Source organism: Homo sapiens, chromosome 9, assembly GCF_000001405.40.
Source record: "Homo sapiens chromosome 9, GRCh38.p14 Primary Assembly".
Lineage (NCBI taxonomy): Eukaryota > Metazoa > Chordata > Mammalia > Primates > Hominidae > Homo > Homo sapiens.
Window position 1 is genome coordinate 28,767,653 of NC_000009.12, and position 22,275 is coordinate 28,789,927.

At 35.3% G+C, this 22,275-nt stretch overlaps 1 protein-coding gene across 12 annotated transcripts in view, besides 1 other annotated feature; it reads right to left on the bottom strand.

Annotated features, from left to right (window-relative positions):
• The window catches only part of LINGO2 (leucine rich repeat and Ig domain containing 2), a 1,275,985-nt gene that overhangs the window by 830,036 nt on the left and 423,674 nt on the right, over positions 1–22,275 (bottom strand). The gene's annotated exons all lie outside the window — the stretch shown is intronic.
• Positions 7,487–7,986: an enhancer, noted in NCBI's record as "H3K4me1 hESC enhancer chr9:28775137-28775636 (GRCh37/hg19 assembly coordinates)". NCBI's record gives its function as "activates a minimal SCP1, AML or CMV promoter by ChIP-STARR-seq in primed H9 embryonic stem cells {active_cell/tissue: H9 hESC(primed)}" and the evidence as "EXISTENCE:reporter gene assay evidence [ECO:0000049][PMID:30033119]".

Sequence of the window (22,275 nt, forward strand, 5' to 3'; positions counted from 1 at the left end):
GTGGGTGCCTGTAGTCCCAGCTACTGGGGAGGCTGAGGCAAGAGAATGGCGTGAACCTGGGAGGCGGAGCTTGCAGTGAGCCGAGATCGCGCCACTGCACTCCAGCCTGGGCAATAGAGCAAGACTCCATTTCAAAAAAAAAAAAAAAAAAAAAAGTTCATGCCTTTTAGGTTTCTTTTCAGCTATCATTTTCTCCTCCATCTCTTTCTTTTTCTTACACATTTGTGTTAAAGAAGAGAGGCCATTTAATTTGCAGATTTTTCACAGTCTGGATGGTGTCGTGTTTTTCCATTAGGAGGCATAAAATATTTAGTTTCCTCTCCTTTGGTGGCGTTATCAGCCATTGATGCTCATTGCAGACCTATTTAATAATTGGAGGTGCGAAATAGTGGTATTTTAATTGTACCATATTATTTTAGTTTGCTAGCTGTAATAATTATAAAGAGATCTTCATTATAAAAGAGTGACTATCCCTTATTTGGCTACCCAGAGTTACAGGAATATGGGAAAGCAAAAATAAATGCTTGATGTTTTCTCGTTGTTAGTTTACAATAATGAATTGTTTCCCTGTCATCCACAAAGGTAACCAGCTGGCCTTTTAACATCATTCTGAACTCATGAATTTAAACCTTTTACAGGTTCCAAAACATTCGAACTGGTATCTTAATTAAAAATCAAGTTGTTCTATTTTTGAGCAGTAGGAACTTCTTCAAGTTGGTTCCTGACTCCTTTTGACATTATCTTTGTAGTCTTTGATATAGTTTTTGCTATCTGATGTAGCAGACTGTTCCAGGGTTATCTTGTTCACTTCCTGACCCAGACTCAAGATGAATTATTCCCCCCAAAAGCTCTGATTTCTTTAAGTGGGCAATTGGATTTCAATACTCCAAAGCTGAGCACTGGAGATGTTCACCTCTAGGGTTTGTTAATATTTCCAGACCTGTTTAGTAGACAGACTGGGACACACACACACACACACACACACACACACACACACACACAGTCTCTCCCTCTCTCTCTCTCTGCATATACATGTATACACAAATATATGTTTAATTTTTAAACATGTCATCTCATGAGTTTATACTGAATATAGTACTTCATGGCTTTTACTGAACTTCTTGATTACATCTCTATCTTTTTCTACATTGAGAATCTTGATTCCCATAAGCACACAGTATGACAGAATTGGAACATCCCATAATTTCTCACTTGCTTTATCCAATGCTATACATATAATATATACACATAATGGCAGCAGAATAATAATACTATTACATGTAACCCATTTTTCCCACTTTAAAAGTGCTCTCAAAGACACAGATAGAAATATTGTAAAATTTTTCATGGGTTTTCTTCGTATTATACAAACAGTAGTAAAAGTATAATGTTACTAATACTATCACTATAAATTAAAATTGTAAATGGATTAAATATTTTTGTATATGCTGTCTTCATTCTCCCTCCCATTTTTTAAGGGTATTCTATATCTGCATTGTCAAAATATATAGCCATAAGTATATATTCACTCCCTGTAACCCTTATTTAATCTTAATTCTATAGGCAAGTATATATTAGTGTTCAACATCACTCCTTATCTGTATTTCTGTAGGTATTCTGCATATATAAAATGTGTTCTCTAGATTTTAAAAACATATTTAATAGGAAAATATCCCCTTAATTCCTGCATGTTAACAAATATTTTTAATGTTCTTTATGTTGTTACTCATTGTTTCTTTAAGTACAAGACATTGGTCTAAAAAAAAAAAGTCTGATGACCATTTAATTTTCCCTGTCCCCAGTTACATGCTATATATATATATATATATATATATATATATATATATATATATATATATATATATATTTTTTTTTTTTTTTTTTTTTTTTTTTACCTGAATGTCCTCCAGTTTTTCATTTGCAAGTTCATAGGTTTATTCAAAAATTTTGATGTTGCCTATCCTGTACTACAATTCTCAGGTTCACAGTATACTCTTTAAATATGTGTTCTTGGTTTTTTTTCAGGAACTTTTTTTTTTTACTTAAAATTTTTATTTGTTCTGTTCTTCTGCTTTAGTTTACTTACTCAGACATTCCTATCATGCATAGAATAGATCATCTTTTCTGACCTGCAATCTTTTTTGGCATGCTTTCATTTCCTAAAAGGATGTTATTCTTATTCTTATTCTAATTTTTAAATAATAAGTTTGTACAGGCTGTGCTCTTACTACTTTTTTGCTCATTTTTATCTTTTCTGTAAACTTTTAGGAGGAGGCTTGGCCTAGCTCTCTCTCCTAACTTCACAAAGTTCTCTCTTCTGTTGTTTTAAGGTAGTTTCAAACACACGGTGGCATACTTTCTGAAATTTCCTGGCTCTGTGCTTCTTCTCCACTTTTATTTAGACAGTTTTTCCCCTTTGACTTCATTTTTTCGGTCCAGTTCTATATTGATTCACTTCCATCAGTCTTTCTTCAGCATGGGGTGCTGTCAGACAAGGGAGCTCCTTCCGTTCAATTTTGAGAATTCACTAGGTCTGAAACATTCCAGTCCCTTTAGATCTTCTTACTGGGTGCCACTTGTATCAGTTTGTGATTGGAGTACGTGAAACCCATCTTTTTCTAGCAGCTATTGTCAAGTTAGCCAACTGTGTCTTCCAGGGAATACCTTTGACTCTATGGGGATTCTCCTATTACAAGTCTTCAGTCTCCCCAATGGTTTTCTCTGCTTCTTGCTGCACAGATGCTGAAACCGCATAGGTCTTGTGGTTTCTGGTATTTTATTCTCACCTGCTTGTACTCTGCTGTAAATGTTGTCTGTAGATTTCTGTTTTCACTGTCTGGTTGCTATGTCATTTTACATGAGGGTTTGGAAAGATCCAATAGTATGCTTCCACTGTCACTCTGTCTTCCGAAAATTCTACACTGTAGTACTTAGCACATTATTGGCTTACATTACGTGCTGGGTTAAATCTAATAGAATAACAAAGTGAATGATCAAATAAGAAAATTCTCTATAAACTATAAATCACCATCAAGATATACTGCTATAAGTTATAACATGCAAAAACACACAGGTTAATATATGGTATAGCATAAGAGAAAATAAGGCATATGGATGAGGGATGAAAGTATTAATTGTTATTTCTTAGTATGAATTTAACAAGGAAAAAATTGGTAGATGTTCCAGGAAGTCACTGTTGGTCAGACCAAAAGAAGGACAGAATTTTGTCATTAGCATCACCTTCCTTTACTATGGATCTACGTATTCAAAATCATCCTGGCTTAATGGCAAAACTAACAGACCTTGATTTAGGCATAGACAAGGATCACTTAACTCTAAGTGTTCTCATTAGCCAAGTGCTCAAGGCCATTTGTTATCAACCTTATCTTATCCCCAAGTCTTACAAATTGTCTAACTACCTACTGGTCTCCTCTTAAAGGGAAACACTGTTTGAGATTTACTCCCTTTTAATCTACACTTTAAAGGTTTCCCTTCAACTCCTGTAATCAGCTTATATAGGTCAGTCGTAAGATCCCACATCTGAGCACCAGTTTCATTAAAAGATCAACTTCATAAATCACAATCAATGGGAATAAACATAAAATGAACAAAGAGCTTTTTTTTTTTTGGTGGAAATAACTTCAATTGAAAGAAATGCTGCTAAAAGATCTTGCAACATTGCTCTGTTTTCCTCTAGAATTTACTATTTCAATAAGAAATCTGATGTTGATCTGGGTATGTCTTTCTGTGACTGAAATTCTCCCCCTGTCTCCTTTCTCCTTTCTTTTCTTTCCTATTTGGTGTGTGTGTGTGTGTGTGTGTGTGTGTGTGTGTGTGTGTGTGTGTGTGTGTGTGAGAGAGAGAGAGAGATTCAGAGAAGGTAGTATAAGGTTTGGAATTAATTGGACATTAGTCAGAGTCCCAGTAAAACCATTTGTGAATTTTGTGAACAAGAGAATTTAGTTAATCTCTCTAATCCTTAGTTTTCTCATCAATTAAAGGGGAATAATAAAATATCTAATATTCAGAATGTTGTGAAGTTCAATCATGCATTTAAAGTGATGAGCAGCATATAGCACAGAGCAGACATTTAGGAAAGATTGGCTATTAGGAAAGATGCTTTATTATTATCATTACTATTAGATTTGATCTTTAGAATTCAGAAATCTCCCTAGAATATGTCTCAGTATAGATCTTTTTTTGTAAACATGAATAGCTGGGCAAAATCTCTCATTTTTTAACATATCACAGCATTTATCACATTTTATTGACATTATCTTTTTATTTATCTACACTCATGGAATAACTGAATGCCGTAGGAAGACAAGGAGTATATCTACCCTGTTCACTACTTCATCTGAAATACCTAGCACAGTGCTCTGAAGACACGTTCAACAATAAATATTCACTGAATGAATGAGTAAATGAATTATTTTTCCCCGAACATCTAGATATGAAGAATGAGATGCCTTACATAACAAATATGGAATCCCTGTAGCGCATTTGTAAGTTAATAAATTGGCAGTTGGTTTATACATCTGTGTCTTGCAAGATTGATTATTATAAGTAAGTGACCTTTGAGTAATTGATTAAATCCAGTTTCTCACCCTAGAAAATCCAGTCAGACCGCGGTCTCAGGTAATATACTAAAAATATATGGCTCTGGAGGCACTGTGCAGTTCTTTGGCTTCCTTCTCTCTGTCATCTTTACTATTAGTAACATCCTTTTTGAAATTCAGCCTTCCCAGAAAGGAAATTCTGCAGCTATCCACTGAAGACCAGTTGCATGTACATAACAGCAGCATCACTTTTGGCTACTTGTGAGCACACACGAATAACCAGTAAAATGAGACCCCAGCTTAGCAATTCTTCAGTAAATGAATGGAAAACCATGCTCTAGGCAGTTATTGATATTACTAAATGGCTCTTGAAAATTGTCCGCTGAAGCTGAAAGCATACCTTATTTCTTCTAGGCCTTACATTTTCTTTAACTCTCTTTTTTGTACTTCAGTACTATATGTTCCCTTGCTTAAGAGGGATAGGCTTTGTAAGCAAGACAGCAGCACTCTGGATACACCTTTCCATATGATACTTGAAGAAAAAAAGTTAACTTTAAAACTGCAGCCCATAGAGATAAATACAAATAGTGAAGGAGGAGTTCTGAAGCTCCAGTAGTTAAGTAATATACTTAAGATGGCAATACTATCAATCTACAACACAAACTCACACCAGCTTAATCCAATTTGTCCACAACAGCACATCACTGAAATGGAGCTAGAATTCAAACCTTTTGATTCTAAACTCATTCCATAGTATCACGTTGCCTTGAGAGATGGAGTGAGAAAATGTCATGAAAAATAATAATCACATAAAAGTGAAATGCTCAGTTAGGTTAGACACAAATGTAAGGCAACAAAAGTGACCTACATACGGCCGGGCGCGGTGGCTCACACCTGAAATCTCAGCACTCTGGGAGGCTGAGACGGGTGGATCACGACGTCAGGAGATCGAGACTGTCCTGGCTAACACAGTGAAACCCTGTCTCTACTAAAAATACAAAAAATTAGCCGGGTGTAGTGGCGGGCGCCTGTAGTCGCAGCTACTCAGGAGGCTGAGGCAGGAGAATGGCGTGAACCCAGGAGGCAGAGTTTGCAGTGAGCTGAGATCGTGCCACTGCACTCCAGCCTGGGCGACAGAGCAAGACTCCATCTCAGAAAAAAAAAAAAAAAGTGACTTACATACAAAGTTGTAGTGTTTGAAGGATAGCTATTTATGTATGGTGAGGGGTACTGTGTACTATTTATATAAGGAAAAAAATTAGTGGGATGATGGTGATGATGATGATGATTCTGCTACTAGTGTGCTGAAACGTCAACATTTCCCCCCATTAAATGGTGGGCTGCATACTGAATAATTCCTTCCAAATCCCACTGCAGGAAACCTGCATCTCTAAGCTTTTAGGTTTATCTATTATTCATGCTGCTTGTTTGTACAATACTATTGATTATTCACTGTTTGACCAAATAGTAAGATGATATTTTGCTCTCAATGAAAACTCATGGCAAATGCTTGAATCACCAAAATTAGATGTGGAGAGCAGGCTTGTGGAAAGGGTAATTCAACTGGAGAGAGGGTAAAATATGAAGAATTAAATAAAAACTCCTTTAAATGTGGATGTTTTTCAGTCCTCAGGAGTCCTGTGAAACTCACGCTACATCGTGCTGCAAGACTATGAATACTTATTATAAAGGAAATTCAGTTTACCTTGAAATTTATAAAATAATATAACTGAGGAATTGGTATTTTTGTAAATATAAGCAAGGTTAAACTTTTTTGATATGTTAAAAGAAATTTTAGGTATGTGGGCCAAATGTCATTTTCTTTTTGATACACACACACACACACACACACACACACACACACACACACACTTACTTTAGCATCTCACTTTTTGTAAAGGCAAGATTTAAAACACTTTAAACAGCAAGAAACTTGAGCTTTCTCTTTTGATTTTAATTTCAATAATAGAGCATGAGCTGTTCAGGAGGTTCAAGTTTCTATTCTTATAATAGTTTTCTACACAATATAAGGTACATATGTAAGCTATGCTAGTATAAGTTTATATAAGACCTCCTAAAACGGTTCACTGAATAGCAAAAAAGAAAGAGGATTCCTCCTGGAATGAAATACATGTTTTGCATTTTTTGTTAGTTGAATTTTTTTTGGCCATTGCCAAAACGTATCCAACAAAAATCTCATGCTTGTTTGCAAGGCAAATATTAGAATTATTGTACATACATATGCCCATGCCTATACACATTTCACACACATATATATACACACACACATTATAGAAAAATGTGATTGGTATATTCTCATTTTATATATGTGATGTCACTGATGTGCATGATTTAAAAGATATCTTGTCAGCTCTGAACTTAAAAAAAAAAGCAGAGCAATTAAACTTTTCTGGCACTAGAGGTCGCTAAAACCAGATTACAGATACAGTGACTGCACTTCTAAATCCACAGGGAGGATAGCTAATTTACAATCCAATATGTAGTGGTAAAGGATCAAAGTAAATTACGTTCAGGAATATCTACATTATAACACAAAGTATTGCAAAGTTCAATTTTTTCAGTGGGAATCAACAAAATTGTGGGTTTTTCAAATCAAATTAATAATAAGGAAAATTAATGTTTCCCCTATTTTAACAGCTGTATATATTTAACCAAAATGAAAGCGCTGGACCTTAAACTTGACTGTTTATGTGTTTTGCATTTCAAAGACCACACAGGAACAAATCGTCGAATAAGTAAATTGTTTGTCAAAGCTTTGCTTTTTTAGTATGCCTGGCAATAAACATGTTAACAGAGTCAACTGGAAGAAGGGGAGGGGAGTGACCAATAATGTGTGTGCGGATATTGCTGGTGATGCTGCCAAAGTGAGCATAGGAGGCAAAACAGAGTTATGAGTTGTGCCTTAGAGGAGAAGCTTTGCTTGGCAGTCACTGACTGCTGAGCCGAACTCTGGATTCTCTGTTTCTTAGCACAGGAAAGGTCCCGGTGTTTTGGTTGTGAAAAGCCACCCATTTTCTAAAGCTGCTCCCTACATTACACAGTTGTACCACCACTTGATTTTGGAGAAGCACATCATTGGTTCACTCCCTTCAAACAGGGATTCTTTCCATTTGTGAATCTCACTGCTATCTGAGCCAGGTTTCTGAGCCCCAAAGATAGTGGAAACTATCTGTGCATAGGTACTGAATCTTTAGAGTGCATGGCCTGCCTGATAATTTTCTAAAAGGTCCAATGGCTTCTTTAAATACCAGCATGGTTTGGAAGTCACATAGTTCCCTGGTCAATTATGTTCTAGATGCCATGGGAAAGAATACATATCTTTTTGGGCCTCAAACTTCCTGAACATTAAGTAAGATCACTGGACTATGGGGCCTTAAATATTATAAGTCTAATGTTCAATGAACTTACATGAGTCCTGCCTGAGAAGAAGAATTTCATGATTGACATCTGCTAAGAACTATTAAAGATGTAATTTTAAGAAATGTGCATACTGATAATGATTTGTACTTCTTAGTTTATTCTCCATGCAAAACTATTGGCCATTCTGAAATATTATGATATTTTCTAAATTTGGGGAAAATATACTTTGTTCGTTCACTCTTTGTTTGGAAAACCTAGTTGGTTATGCCTTGAGACCCTAGTGGTGACATCTTTAATGAGAATAATGAAAAAAATTGTAACATCATATATCTTCTCCTTTGCTTCAAAATCCAGAAGGACATTTGAAGTGCTTGAGGGCAGAAATCAGCAATTTTCATGTCACCAGTCCCTGGCTCATGGCAAGCACTCAGAGTGTGTGTTTGATGGGTTCATCAAAGAAAGAGTAGGTTTGTTTATTAACAACATGGTTTTGAGGATCCTGAAAAAGTCAGTTTATGGAATACTTTTGTTATAAGTCAAAATCTAACTCTTGAATAAGCCCCTGGCTTCAGTGAGGAAACAGTGAGCTTTAGTGATCCTTAGGATAGGAGAATGGTTGAACGACCACTTAAGTGGTGAAAGATGAGAAACAGTAGCCAAAAGGAGGCTATCACAATTTTTTTCTCTCTTTTTCTTTCTGCCTTCTTATACTTTAATGTGCTAGCCCATGAATCAAATGAACAAAAGCTTTATTTTACAGACATTTTGAATCAAAATAACTGACTCTAAATTGTAACTCTAGAAATGGCCATTTAATTGTTCTGCCTGTCCTTTAGAATTATGCAAAAACTAAATAATGAAAACTAACAATGCAGAAAGTTTACTCAAATTCAATATTCAAATATTACTAATTTAACCAGTAGCTATAATCCTTCCCTAGAGTATCTTCTCAAAAGAAAAAATATTATGAGCTGGTAACCATGCTGGAGCTGTTTCCTTTCATGCATTCTCCCTCTCTCTATTCCACAAAAATTGTTAAGGGCACGATGCATACCAGGTACCATGTTAAGCACAGAAAATACAATGATGAACTAAACAGACACTGTCTTTCCTTTTCAAAGGTTATTGTAAGTCAAAGAACACCACTGGTCAAGTAAATAAGCAATAACGATGAGTGAGATTTGTGTCAGAACAGAGGAAGTATAGAGTATATAGAACCCCAGTCACACAGCTGCCTCTTTTTTTTTTTTCAGTCAACTTGTCAGACAGAAGTTACTCCATAATATGGTTTGGATTTGTGTCCCTGCCCAAATCTCTTGTCAAATTGTAGGAGTGGCCTGGCGGGAGGTGATGATTTCCCCTTGGATTTCCCCCTTGCTGTTCTCATGATAGTGAGTTCTCACGAGATCTGGTTGTTTAAAAGTGTGTGGCACGTCCCCCTTTGCTCCCTCTCCCACTTGCTCTGCCTTGGTGAGACGCGCTTTCTTCCCCTCCCCTTCCGCCATGATTGTAAATTTCCTGAGGCCTCCCAATCATGCTTCTCTACAGTCTGTGGAACTGTGAGTCAATTAAACCTCTTTTCTTCATAAATGACCCAGTCTCGGGTAGCTCTTCTAGCAATGTAAAAAGGGATTAATACACTCAGTAAATATTTGATGAATTATATGCATGTTGAACAATTGAGACTGAATAAAAACAATCATTATTTCAGAAGAAAGGGAGGCATAGAAACTTGAAACAATACCTCTAAAACTGAAGAAAAGTAGGCAGGGTCCTATTTTAAGATACTCAACCACCAGTTTACATTCTAGGCACTAAAATTCCCATTCTGTTTTCTAAGCTGTTGAAAGCTGGAGCAACAGCTCAAGTGACGATAAAAGAGATATGAGGCGATACAAGATCAGGTATTGGGAAAAACAAAGTTTTCTGTAGCTCAAACTGTGTGCCAGTGAGGTGTTTATACAAATTCTCCAGAAAGATATATATTGATTTCACTATTTTAATACGAGAGAGTTACAGGCAAAGGGTACTCTACTTTAAGAGAAGAGAGGTGCAGGAATGTGCGTCATATAATCTCACAGAAAGATCTTTTGGTCTAAGACAGAGAACAGAATAAGGAAAATCTCATGATGTGGGTAGGAGACATTATAAATTTGTGACCCATCAGTGGCTGAGTTGCTCGTGTTAAGTCCTGGCCATAACTATGCTGGCTCTGATAAGCTGCCAAAGCAAGGGACTTCCACAAATAAGACAGTGTATAAATTTAAGGTATTAAATCCTTTTTTATTTCATTTTAAAATCCTGATTTCTCTTTTTCTGACAGCACATCCCATAGTTCCTTCTGCCTTCTTGCTACATTAGAGAGCAATAATGAATGTCGAGTTTTGATGGGTACCATGAGGACCCTTCTCTATAGTGCATAGTCCATGTGGGTCTTTCTGATATGATTGATAGTGGCATAGAAGCATTCTGCATATAAAGATTAATTGCTTCAGCAATTATCCTTTACTGAATGGTTGACTATAACTCCACACTTTTGACTCCTACTTAAGCAAGCAGTTCCTTCATTGGGTTAATTTATTTTCTCCTTCTCTTTTAAACTAATAGTATATTTCCATGTTATTTTAAATCTTTTACTTTAGATAAAATGTTTCCTCTTGCCACTCTAAGTTAAGATTTGGGTAAGACCTTCATAAGTCATAAGGAAAAGGATGGATTAAATAATTTATGTGATTTTTTTTCTTATCAGTAACTCAGAAAAAGTATTCTTCTGGGAAAACTATAAATCAAAGTGGTCAAGGAAACAAGGGAGGTGTTGTAAGGTTCGTTGCCAACTTTTTCCTTTACTGAAGACACCACCTTACTACTACAAATGCATCAACACTATACAGCTATTTTCTAAATTTAATTCTCTCAAAAGTACTATTAAGTTGAACTAAATCCTGATGACATACTAGAAGTTCAGAGAAACTGCATACAAATTATTTTCAGTTCATTTACAAAGGCCAGAGTATGAGCACAGGGACAATCTTACTTTTGAAAAGTGAAAGGCAAGCTTTTACTTAAGATTATTCCTGATGAAATACCCTAGGGCCAAGGTTAGAATTTTTCAACTTGCTCTGCAAAAACAAAACAAAATAAAATGTCTCCATGTTCTCTTGATAAGTAACTCTCTGATAGCTAAAATAGGAATTTTTCATTTAACATTTTCATATGAAGTGGCTTTGAGCTAGAAGAGATATCTATTGAAAACACAAAAAAAGTTACATTTAAAAACAGCAAATACATGGAAGCATTAGATTCTGAAAATATTAAACATTTTGCATCTGGATTATCTATATCTGTACATGGAAGATAAAGAAATTGATTTTAATTAAGATCACACAGAAGAACAGACAAAGCAGGAACAATAAAACCCATATCTATTCTCAGAGCACTAAATCTTAACCGTACTATTTTTATAATATGCTTGTGCTTTAAAACTTACAAATGGCTGCCAGTGGCATCTGTTGTATAATGTTATTTAGTTCACAAAGATAAATAAATGCATGCAAAAGAATTTCTAGCTGCCTTTCAATCGTTTTTAAAATAATTTATTTCATTTCTTTAATATGTAGTCACCACATGACAAGTACAAAGCATATTATTATTGACTAATATACATTTCCATGATTGATAGGTTAGCACTTTTATTTTGGGCAGCTTTTTACATAATTTAGGTATTTGGGGACTGTTTCCTCTCAAATTCCATCTCCCACCTGCTCTGGTATGGCAGGTCAACAATCCATCTTGGCTCATTGCTTTGTTATCTTGACACAGTTCAGATTGCAAAACATCTGGAGCTATTGATGACTTCATATATTGCAAAACCATGTGTTTTCCCCTGAGGAGTATTTTTCATTCTGTTTTAAAATATGAATCACTTCTGAAAGGATGGCTCACTGATTATTTAACTTCAAGATAGTCAATGAGTTTATAAGCCAGAGACCCCTTCATTGTGCTGCCACATTCATGGTTAGAGGAAAAGAGTGTACAATATCACCTGTCAAAGTCAATTGTATGAATCTTACAACACATTTCAGAACAAGTGAATGTAGGCCACAGTTTTTTTCTGATTGCTTTTTCTTAAATTGCACAGGAAAATTTTTCTAATGTACATGTTATTTTCACTCAAATATGCTTTCAACATTTAAATTTAACTAGAACCTGATGCAAAGCATACAGTAACCTGATACTGACTCACAGATGGCATGTTATAGAACCATTGCTCTATTATTTCACCTCTATCTCTCTCCCTCCCTCCCTGCTTCTTACTATCCCTCTGATGCACTTGTATATATAGAAAATATAGGACAAAAAAGTGTGTTTAATGCCTTTTTTCTTCTCTCTACACCACTAAAGTTAAAATCTTCTAAATCAGTTAATGTCAAAACTTCTAACTCATTGTTTTGTTTCATAAGTGTATTTTAAGTCAAATGGAACCTGACAGTAAATGACCTTAAAATGATGTACAGATTTTAATAAAAAATGGACTTGGCTATTTTAATAGAAGTGTTCAATATAAATTAAAAGTGTGAGGCATAACTTAAAAAGAGAATGTTGCCACTGGAATCAAGAAACTTGGTAGCTTCCCTGTACTCGGTCTTGCTCAAATCCAGAATAGCGCATAATATCAGTTAAAGGTATGACACTTTAAGTTCAATATTTGAGCCTATTCATTGGTATTTAACGTAGAGGGTCTTTTGTGAGTAAAATTTTTTTTTTCTTTGTAACAATGGACAGCTTAGCAGCCAAAATAAGGTTTACAGGAATCTATATTTTGAGTCTATGTTAGAAATAAATATTTAGCAGTTAGAACAGCTTAGCACTATGTGGCTACTCCCCACAACCACAACTGGTTAAAAGAAAACAAAATGACTTCATGTCAGGAATGTGGAAGAGGAAGATGAGAAAATTTTCAAAGGCCTCTGTCTAGCTCTTTCTTCTCCAGATCCATCACAGGCCTACTTGCTTTCTTACCCTGATTTTATTACAAGTTACAGGTGAACAGCTTCAGATTTCTTTTTATCATTGTGTATTACTTTTAAGGGAATTAGATAAACTGTGTACATTTCTTTCTAGTTTTACTGTTCCTGGGTCCTGTGATGTGGGACATTTCACCAATAATAATGCACACAAACATAGTCAAGAGCGCCTTAACATAGCGGCTGGAATTTTCATATATGATCTTGGTAGTAATGTGTGTGTGTGTGTGTGTGTGTGTGTGTGTGTGTGTGTGTGTATTATATTGCTACTAAATATATATGAGACCAGATTGGATAGTGAATCAGTTGACGTTTATTTGAAATTTTGGAGAGAGTAGGAAATTACAGTAACAAAAATATTTTCAAAAATCTAATCTGTAAGGTAATACTAATAAGATTTTAAAATGTGTGTTTATATACAGAGTCATAATGTCTAAATCTACAAGTAATCTTAGAAGCCTTGTATTTCAGTCCTATCATTTTATACATGAGGTTTTTGAGGCTCAGAGAGGGGTTTGGCCTTACATTATGTAATAGGCAGAGTTAGAAACGAAGCTGAGACTACAACCAATTTGTTTCTCTTGATCCCAAGCCCATATGATCTGAGCTGGAAAGGCGTGAACTGACAGTGCTCAAATACAGGCAGTGCAGCCAGATGCCGGGCTCTTATAGGACTTTAGAAGAAATTTCTAGATAGGGTTGGGGGGTTAGACCATATAGTATCCAAGGTATGCATTCAAATCATAAGATTTTATGCATCAACATTTGAAATTAAATTGTGGTGAAGAGGAAGACAGGCAGAAGCTCCATAAAGATAGCACGCTGAAAATTTTAAAGCTCCTTATTCAAATAATAGCAAAACAAAATCATTAATTTTCCAGCTCTACAATTGGCACTATTTCCTGCTTTAGAAAAGGAAGCCATCAACCCTTCCCATACTCCATTGTCTCTCATAATTATGCATGTTATTAAACAAGTGGTAATATAAGAGGCATGGAGTGAACATCATTTTATTGGCATCATATAGTTACAAGAACACATGTTGCCAAAAATCATTTCCATTCAGCTGAAGAAACAAAGAAGTAAGAGATCTGCAAACAAAAGTAGTCAGCACCTGGCAGGCATTCAGAGAAATTATCAATAAAAGGAGGAGGAAAAAAATCCACTTAATTCCATGTTATGCAAAAACAAGTTTAGAAGGATGCATATTATAAATGAAAACCTCAATACCATTACTTATTGGCAACATTAGGAACATTTTCAATTGTGTTTAAACTCAATTTATTGTCATACAGTAAGTTGTTGAAATGTGATTGCTATACATTTTTAAACCAAGTTTGAATTACATCAGAGGGAATTTGATATTTTCACAGTAACTTATAGTCATATTTTAGTTTTTTGAATGTTGGAATGAGGAATAATTGATGATTCCTTACTTGATTCCTCAAGTTCCCTGCTTTGGAATCACTACTCATACACCATTACTTTGTTTAAAAATATATATATATATCTTACAAGCCAGATCCTGCAAGCTCTGTCCAGTGGTATGGCATTAATGACGAAATATTTTAGTTGTGAATTCTGAAGTGACTCTTCAATGGAGTCCTTAGTTCAATTGTAAAAATAAATGAGAAAGCAGAAATTTTCATTAGAAACTCAAAATGAGACTGAATGTGGAATCCAAAAAGAAATGACCTTTCGTCCTCAGAAACCAAAATGTCAGTGCCTTCCTCCCTTCATTCATTCACTGTGCATTACTTGATCATCTACTATGCACCAGACACTGTGTTATGTGCTGAGGATGCAAGGGGTGATGGCAGTGGATAGTGTAGTCCCAGAGGAATAGCATGCATGATAAAAGGGAAATGATAACAAGAGTATGAGAGAGGTTGTACGTCAGTATGTGCCACATTAACTATGTGTTGTGACAGTAGATCCACACTGTATCACAATTTGTACTGAGAAATTTGACAAAGAATAATAAGTAGAGAAGTAGTAAATTCTGGTAAACAAAAGTAAAAGTATGATGCAAAACTCTCCTCTTTTTTCTTTCCAACAGTGAAGAATTTGTTACTTCTTTGAAAGTCATCCTAGCATCATGGGAATTAACTTAGAGTAGTGAATAACAATAGTCCATTCTTCTGCCTACAACTTTAGAAAGTACAGTCATGCATCACTAAACAAAGGAAACATTCTGAGAAATGGAAGTTGTTAGGCAATTTCATCATTGTGCAACCTGCAGAGCACACTTACACAAACCTAAGATGGCGCAGCCCCACTATACACCTAGGCTATATGGTATAGCCTGTTGCTGCTAGGTTACAAACCTGTACAGGGTGTTACTGTACTGAATCCTGTATACAACTGTAACACAATGGTAAGGATTATGTATCTATACATATCTAAATGCAGAAAAGGTACAGTAAAAATATGATGTAATCTTATGGAGCAACTGGCATATATTCAGTTATTGAACAGAAACATTTATGAACTGCATTATATTTTATGAAGATAATTCAACTTCTGGTGCTCAACTTAAGCTAAGATGTGTTGAAGGACACTGTCAGTACCTAAAGAAATGAATATACAGTTGTCCCTTGGTATCCATGGGGAACCGGTTCTAGAACCCCCTCCCTTATAACGAAATCCCATATATGAAATAGCATTGTATTTATATATAACCTGTGCAAATCCTCCCATATTCTTCATATAATCTCTAGATTACTTATAATGCCTAATACAATATAAATGCTGTGTAAATAGTTGTTATACTATATTTTTAAATTTTATTATTTCTATTTGTATTTTTTAATACTTAATATTTTTTTACTTTTATTTTTAAAATATTTTCAACCTGTGATTGGTCATCTCTGTAGACATGGAATCCACGGATATGGAGGACTAACTGCGCTCTTTGCTTTTAAGCAGACAATTGCTAAAAATAAGGTACTAAGGGAACACAAACCCCAGTGCCAATACTCTTTCTAGAGGGGAGGGGTTAGCAAAATCTACACTGAGGAAATAACATTTGAATTGGGTGTGGAAAGATAAGTGGAATTTCACAAGACAAAAGAGAAAGTAAAGGACATTCCAAATAGAGGGAACTAGATGTACAAAATCAATGTCTTAGTCAATTCAGGCTGCTATAACAGAGTGCTATAGACTGGGTGACTTAAATAGTAGAAATTTATTTCTCAGAGCTCTGGAAGCTGCACAGTTCAAGATCAAGACAGTGGCAGATCCAGTGTCTGGTGACAGCACTCTTGGTGGATTGCAGATGGTCATCTTCTTGTTGCATCCTTATGTAGTGGAAAGAGAGCTCTGTTCTCTTCTCCCCTTATAAAGACACTAATCCCATTCATGAAAGCTCTGTACTCATAACCTAATTATCTTCGAAAGTCCCCACCGCTGAACACCATCTCATTCGGGTTTATAATTTCATCCTATTAGTTTTGGAGGGGGACACAAACATTCAGTACATAATAATGTGAAATAAAATTAATTGTTTTTTAAAAAATCAATGTTCTTTTACACTGTAACTTTGCAGAGGCAACTGTTGTTCCCAGTTTCTTGTAAGGAGAGATTGGTGTGTGTTTATATTTTGTTAATTCATACAAATTTACCAAGTCCCTTTATGTACACAGTAATGTGTTAGATTTGAAGAGAACACAAAAGAAATATTAGATGGGCATTTTTAATTGAGAAGCAAACCATTTAATTGCAGAAAGAAGCTCTGGTATAATGGAAAGAAGGCAAGCTTTGGAGTTACACAGAAGTCAGTTTGAGTCCCAGTTCAGCTGCTTACTAGCTGTGTGACCCTGTATTAGTAATTTAAACTAGACGACCTAATTTTCTCATCAATACAACGGGCATGCTAAAACTTAACATTTCAGAATTGTTGTAGAGATGAGTAAAATAGATATAAAAAGTTTTGCACATAGTTGCTACTCAAAAAGTAAATACAGAAAAACTGTCCCTTATTATTCTAATTGTTCTCAAGGAAGAATTGAAGAGCAACACAAGATAGTATATGATTCAGTATAAAATGAATTGCAGGTCGGGCGCGGTGGCTCACGCCTGTAATCCCAGCACTTTGGGAGGCCGAGGTGCGTGGATCATGAAGTCAGGAGATCGAGACCATCCTGGCCAACATGGTGAAACCCCGTCTCTACTAAAAATACAAAAGTTAGCTGGGCGTGGTGGCGTGCACCTGTAATCCTAACTGGGAGGCTGAGGCAGGAGAATTGCTGGAACTTGGGAGGTGGAGGTTGTAGTGAGCCGAGATCGTGCCACTGCACTCCAGCCTGGCGACAGAGCGAGACTCTGTCTCAAAAAAAAAAAAAAAGAATTGCAAATATATGAGCCTACTGTTGATGAGGATACTCAGAGCTAACTGAAAAAGTATAGTATAATGTGGATTGTTCTACATACATGATATCCAGAGAGTTATAAAAAGAAAGAAAACAATTCAGGAGAAAATAAAAGTCTTACTTTAGAAGGACAATATAAATTATACAGAAATGGCACATACTCTATGGCAGCAGAGAACCAGAGGAAAGTAGTTTTGTATTAATAAGTAGTAAGATACACTGGATAGAACACATTACATTATGAAGAGTCTTGAGAAGCAATGTAAACATTTTAGATATAAACTCAATGACATCAAGGCATCATTGACCATACCTAGGCATATGCCTATCCTGCAGCATGATAGGACCATGTTAGACAGGCTAATGGATGGCTGAATCCTTCTTATCATTGAGACCTCATATCAACTCTCATTTCAGAGTAGCCACCCATGATTTCTCCATCTAAAGTAGCTTCTCACTCTCTATAATATCACACTATACAGAAATCGCTTTGCTTATTGATTTATTTGAAATTATTTTCTCCTCTCACTAGACTGTAAGCTCTGTGAGAACAAAAACATTGTCACTTTGAGTTTACTGCGATATTTGCAGCCCTAGCAACACTGTCTGACACACAGCAGACTCTCACTTGCTCTTTCCCTGCCCTCCCTCCCCCGCCACCCAGGGCCCTTCTCTCTCTCTCCACAAACACACACACACGCACACACACACACACACACATGCACACACACTACATCAACAATTTAATATTTTCCTGGAAGAAGAAAAATCAGAATCTTTTGCAATAGCAATATATAAGCTGATGAAGGCTTATCATCTTGGCAATGGGTATGCTAACAAAGGAACAAAAGGGACTTATATTGATGTTACTTCTGTAGACCTACAGTTTGTCAAAATTAATTCTTCATGACAAAATGTACACTAAATTCATATAATTCAATGGGTGTCTAAATTCTCCAAACTACGTACGACCTTCTGTAACAAATCCATTTATCTGCACTGAAATAGCCCACTTTTATTTCTTACAAGAATTCACAAATGCCAGCTCTCTGGTCACTCATAGGTCATTGTTCTGTAATGCATCTTCCTCTGGATAATCACATTTCTCAAGGCCTGCTGTGCAAATACACAATAGGTAATACTCAATGGCAATCCATTTTTCTATTTGGCATTGATTGGTGGAGTTGTCATATTATCTTTTCTATCAGAGAAGTTACTGTTAACTAAATATCTTCCTTTCTAATGCTACTAATAAAAAAAACCTCTCCTACCATGACACCTCCTTAATTGCATTTTAGTCCATTTTAATCTGATGTGATACATTCTGGAGGCATATGGGAGGTGGGGACAAAGGGAAAGGTAATTCACCAGATGTAAGTTCAAAGAGTAAGGAATCCTTCTGTATCTGTATTATTTATTTTTATATATTCTTGGCATCCTATAGTTTTCCTAGCATATAAATATGAGTTGAGTAAATGTTCCATAGAATAGCTACTGTATTTCCATGTAAATATAAAGAAACTGAAAATTAAAAAAGGAAAAGCATCATTTGCCTAGGGTGTAGGTAATCTAATATTCTTTTCACTATACCAATAAGAGAGCCTGAGGTAGAGATAGTGCAGACAAATAGATATTTCTTCCTCCCTTTTTTATAGTCTCTTCTATGCCTACAAAACCCAAATATGAATTAACTACTGTCTGTCCTCACTCACATTGTCAGGATCCTGAGTCAAATCATGAAGTTTGAGCCAGAATCTGTGAAGGATCACAACTAAATGGGTAAGAAGAACTGAAATAACAGAGGGAAGTATGGGCATACTTCTAGAAGTAATAGAAAAGGAAGAAAATAAGGCTACTAAAGGATTTTTGACGGGTAAGCAGGAACAATGCTCAGAAAAAGAATATCCTATTCCAGAGTTTAATTACTCAGGGCATTTTTTATTTCCCCTCCTTATTTTGCAATAGGTCTGCCTAGGATTAACAATGTGTGCATGACTCTCATCAAAATCAGTAAGCAAAAACATCTTGAAGAAAAGCTAGTTCTAGGGGTAACATGTTTGTGTGGTGTTACCAAAATGTACTTTTGCTTAATCACCAGGTAGTGATGTTGCTTAGAATAGTTGTAATAATGAAGCACTGGACCTAGGTAGATAGAGAAGTTGACACTCGTTTGTGCAAGAACGAATGAGGACTAGGGGAGGGGAATAAATCCATCCAGTACTATTTGTTTTCAGAAAATTCCGGAGCTTAACAATAATACAGTATATAAGGAGGAAAGATCTTGTACACTACAAAAACTTAACATGCACTTGGAAAACTTGCATGATATTATATTCGATAAGACACAGGTCTTTGTATATAACTGTATCTATACCAATCAAATACACCAGATTATAGATGGCTTTTAAAAGGCTATATATAGAATAAATTCTGTGGCATCTTGTAGGATAAATAATTTACATAGTTGCTAAATGAAGAGAGAATAATTCAGAGAAAAACCTATTTCCTCAAAAAGGAAAACATTGCTTGACTTCCCTGTCACAAATATTTATGTCAAAAAATCTAGAACAATAAATAACCCTGCAATGTCTACTTTCCAACTATGAGAAGGGAAAAAAGTGTCTTTTACCCGGTAGTTCCTTAGTAATCTGTTTCACATTTAGAATCTTGTCCTTAGTATGATTATTCCTAACACCACTGGAAGGTTTTAATAAGATAAAGATAAATAATTTAAGTAATATTGATAAATTTGAAACATCTCTTATTTACTATGTAGCTATTTCTGTAAATACATTCATCATTGCTTATATAAATATAACTCAATAAAAATAACACTTCTAATGATTGGCATATATTTTTAACTTTAAATTACATGGTGGAAGCACATTCATTCTTGATTCTTCAACACATTTTCTCTTTGCTTCAACAGCAAAGTCATGTTCTCCTTAGCTTGACAAATGTTTTAAACAATATCTAAATTCACTAACCATCAGTACTGCCTCTCAGGTAAATTATGTGAACTAAAACATATTTTGTATTTCTAGACCTGATGAACTATATCTGAAGTCATCTGGGCAATTGAACAGGACTGAGTACTGGAAGGAAATTAAGATAAAGTGAAAAGATATCACAAAAAAGATATCTACAAAAGACAGATATTTCCTTAAGATTGAATTTTTCCATAATGCAATTACCATTCAAGTGAAATAATTTTATAGAAAAAAATTCATTAAAAAGCCAGTAATTAAAGCTCCTTGTGCAAATTTTAAAGCTAAAGTCTATGACTACACTACAGTGAACTGTGTCAGAAGGGTTTCAGTTTATTGCCAATAAGCTTTACCATATTTTTAAAGTAAATTGTGTTTATTGGCAAGAAGATTGTTCTGATATTGATAAAGACCTGGTGAACAATTTGTTAGAAATACATACATCAATAGGTTATTTGTGTTTTCTGCATTATCACCTTGCAGAAGTAGAAAAGGTAGGCATTAAAGCTTTGGTATTTGAGAGCGAACCACACGTGTATTAGTACATTTTCATACCGCTATAGAGAATTGCCCAAGACTGGGTAATTTATAAAGGAAAGAGGTTTAATTGACTCACAGTTCAGCATGGCTGGGGAGGCCTCAGGAAACTTACAATCATGGTGGAAGATGAAGGGAAAGCAAGGCAAATTCTTCACAAGGTGGCAGAAAGGAGAAGTGCTCAGTGAAGGTGGAAGAGCCCCTTGTAAAACCATCAATCTCATGAGAATTCACTCACTACCACGAGAACAGCATGGGAGAAACTGCCCCCATGACACAATTACCTCCATCTGGTCTCTCCCTTGACATGGGATTGTGGGGAGTATGGGGATTACAATTTAAGATGAGATTTGGGTGAGGACACAAAGCCTAAGCATATCAACAAGTACAAAATATTGTTTGGTTACAACATGCATTGCTCGAAAGAAATGCTTTTTAGGGTGAAGTAAAGTATTTTTTTTCTAATTTAAGTCCTCTAATATGTAATAATATAAACCTATTATTTCTGCCAGATAATAAAATAAAAATATAATCCTCATAGCATATGTCAAGACCTAAATAAATGTATTCCTGGTTTCAGATTTTGGATAAACTTAGAATATATATACACTGCTTTAAAATATCACCAACTTGAACATTTTTAATGTTTTACTTGTTGTTTATGACATTGGGCATGAGTAGAAATGAAATAAGGTCCTATGAGTCCTTTAATGAAAGTATCTAATTAAAATAATCTCACTGTTTTGAGATAAGGAAAGAGGAATAGTTCATAATTTTGTTGTTTGATAAATAAATAAAAGCTATTATCTCAATAGTATCTTATTGTCATGAACCACAATGTTTTGTAAATCAAGCCAAATAACTAGATAACTGAGAACATTTTATCTGAAATATAATAAACAGTGTAACTTCTTATTAAGAGATATCACTGTTTGCCCAGCTTGGACTCCCTCTTTTCACTGCTGGCCTCATCTCTATCTCTAGGAAAGACAGCCCAAAGACCCCATATGTTTTACTCTCCCTTTCCATGGCTGATTGGAAAGAGATGGGTACCTGTTGCTAGTCAGGTTGAATTGAACATGTCATGAATAGTGAGGTCTAGAATTTACACCATGGTTAATTTAGAAAAAATTAAGGTAAAGTTATTGAGGAAAATAAAAGACATAGAGGGAGAAATGGAACACCCAGAGAAAACACAAATGAGAAAACCTAAAGTTCCTTAGAATCAAGAGAGGTGAGAAAGCATCCATGTTCCTTGAAATATTCCACGTTCCTCATTCTTGACCCCATGGACCATGGCATATGTAATTTCTTTAAGACTAACATATTCTCTCAAAATCTCTACACTTCCTTTTACTCGCAGTAATTACAGTAGGTTTCTATCTCTCTTAACCAAACAGCCTTCTTTGACTACTAG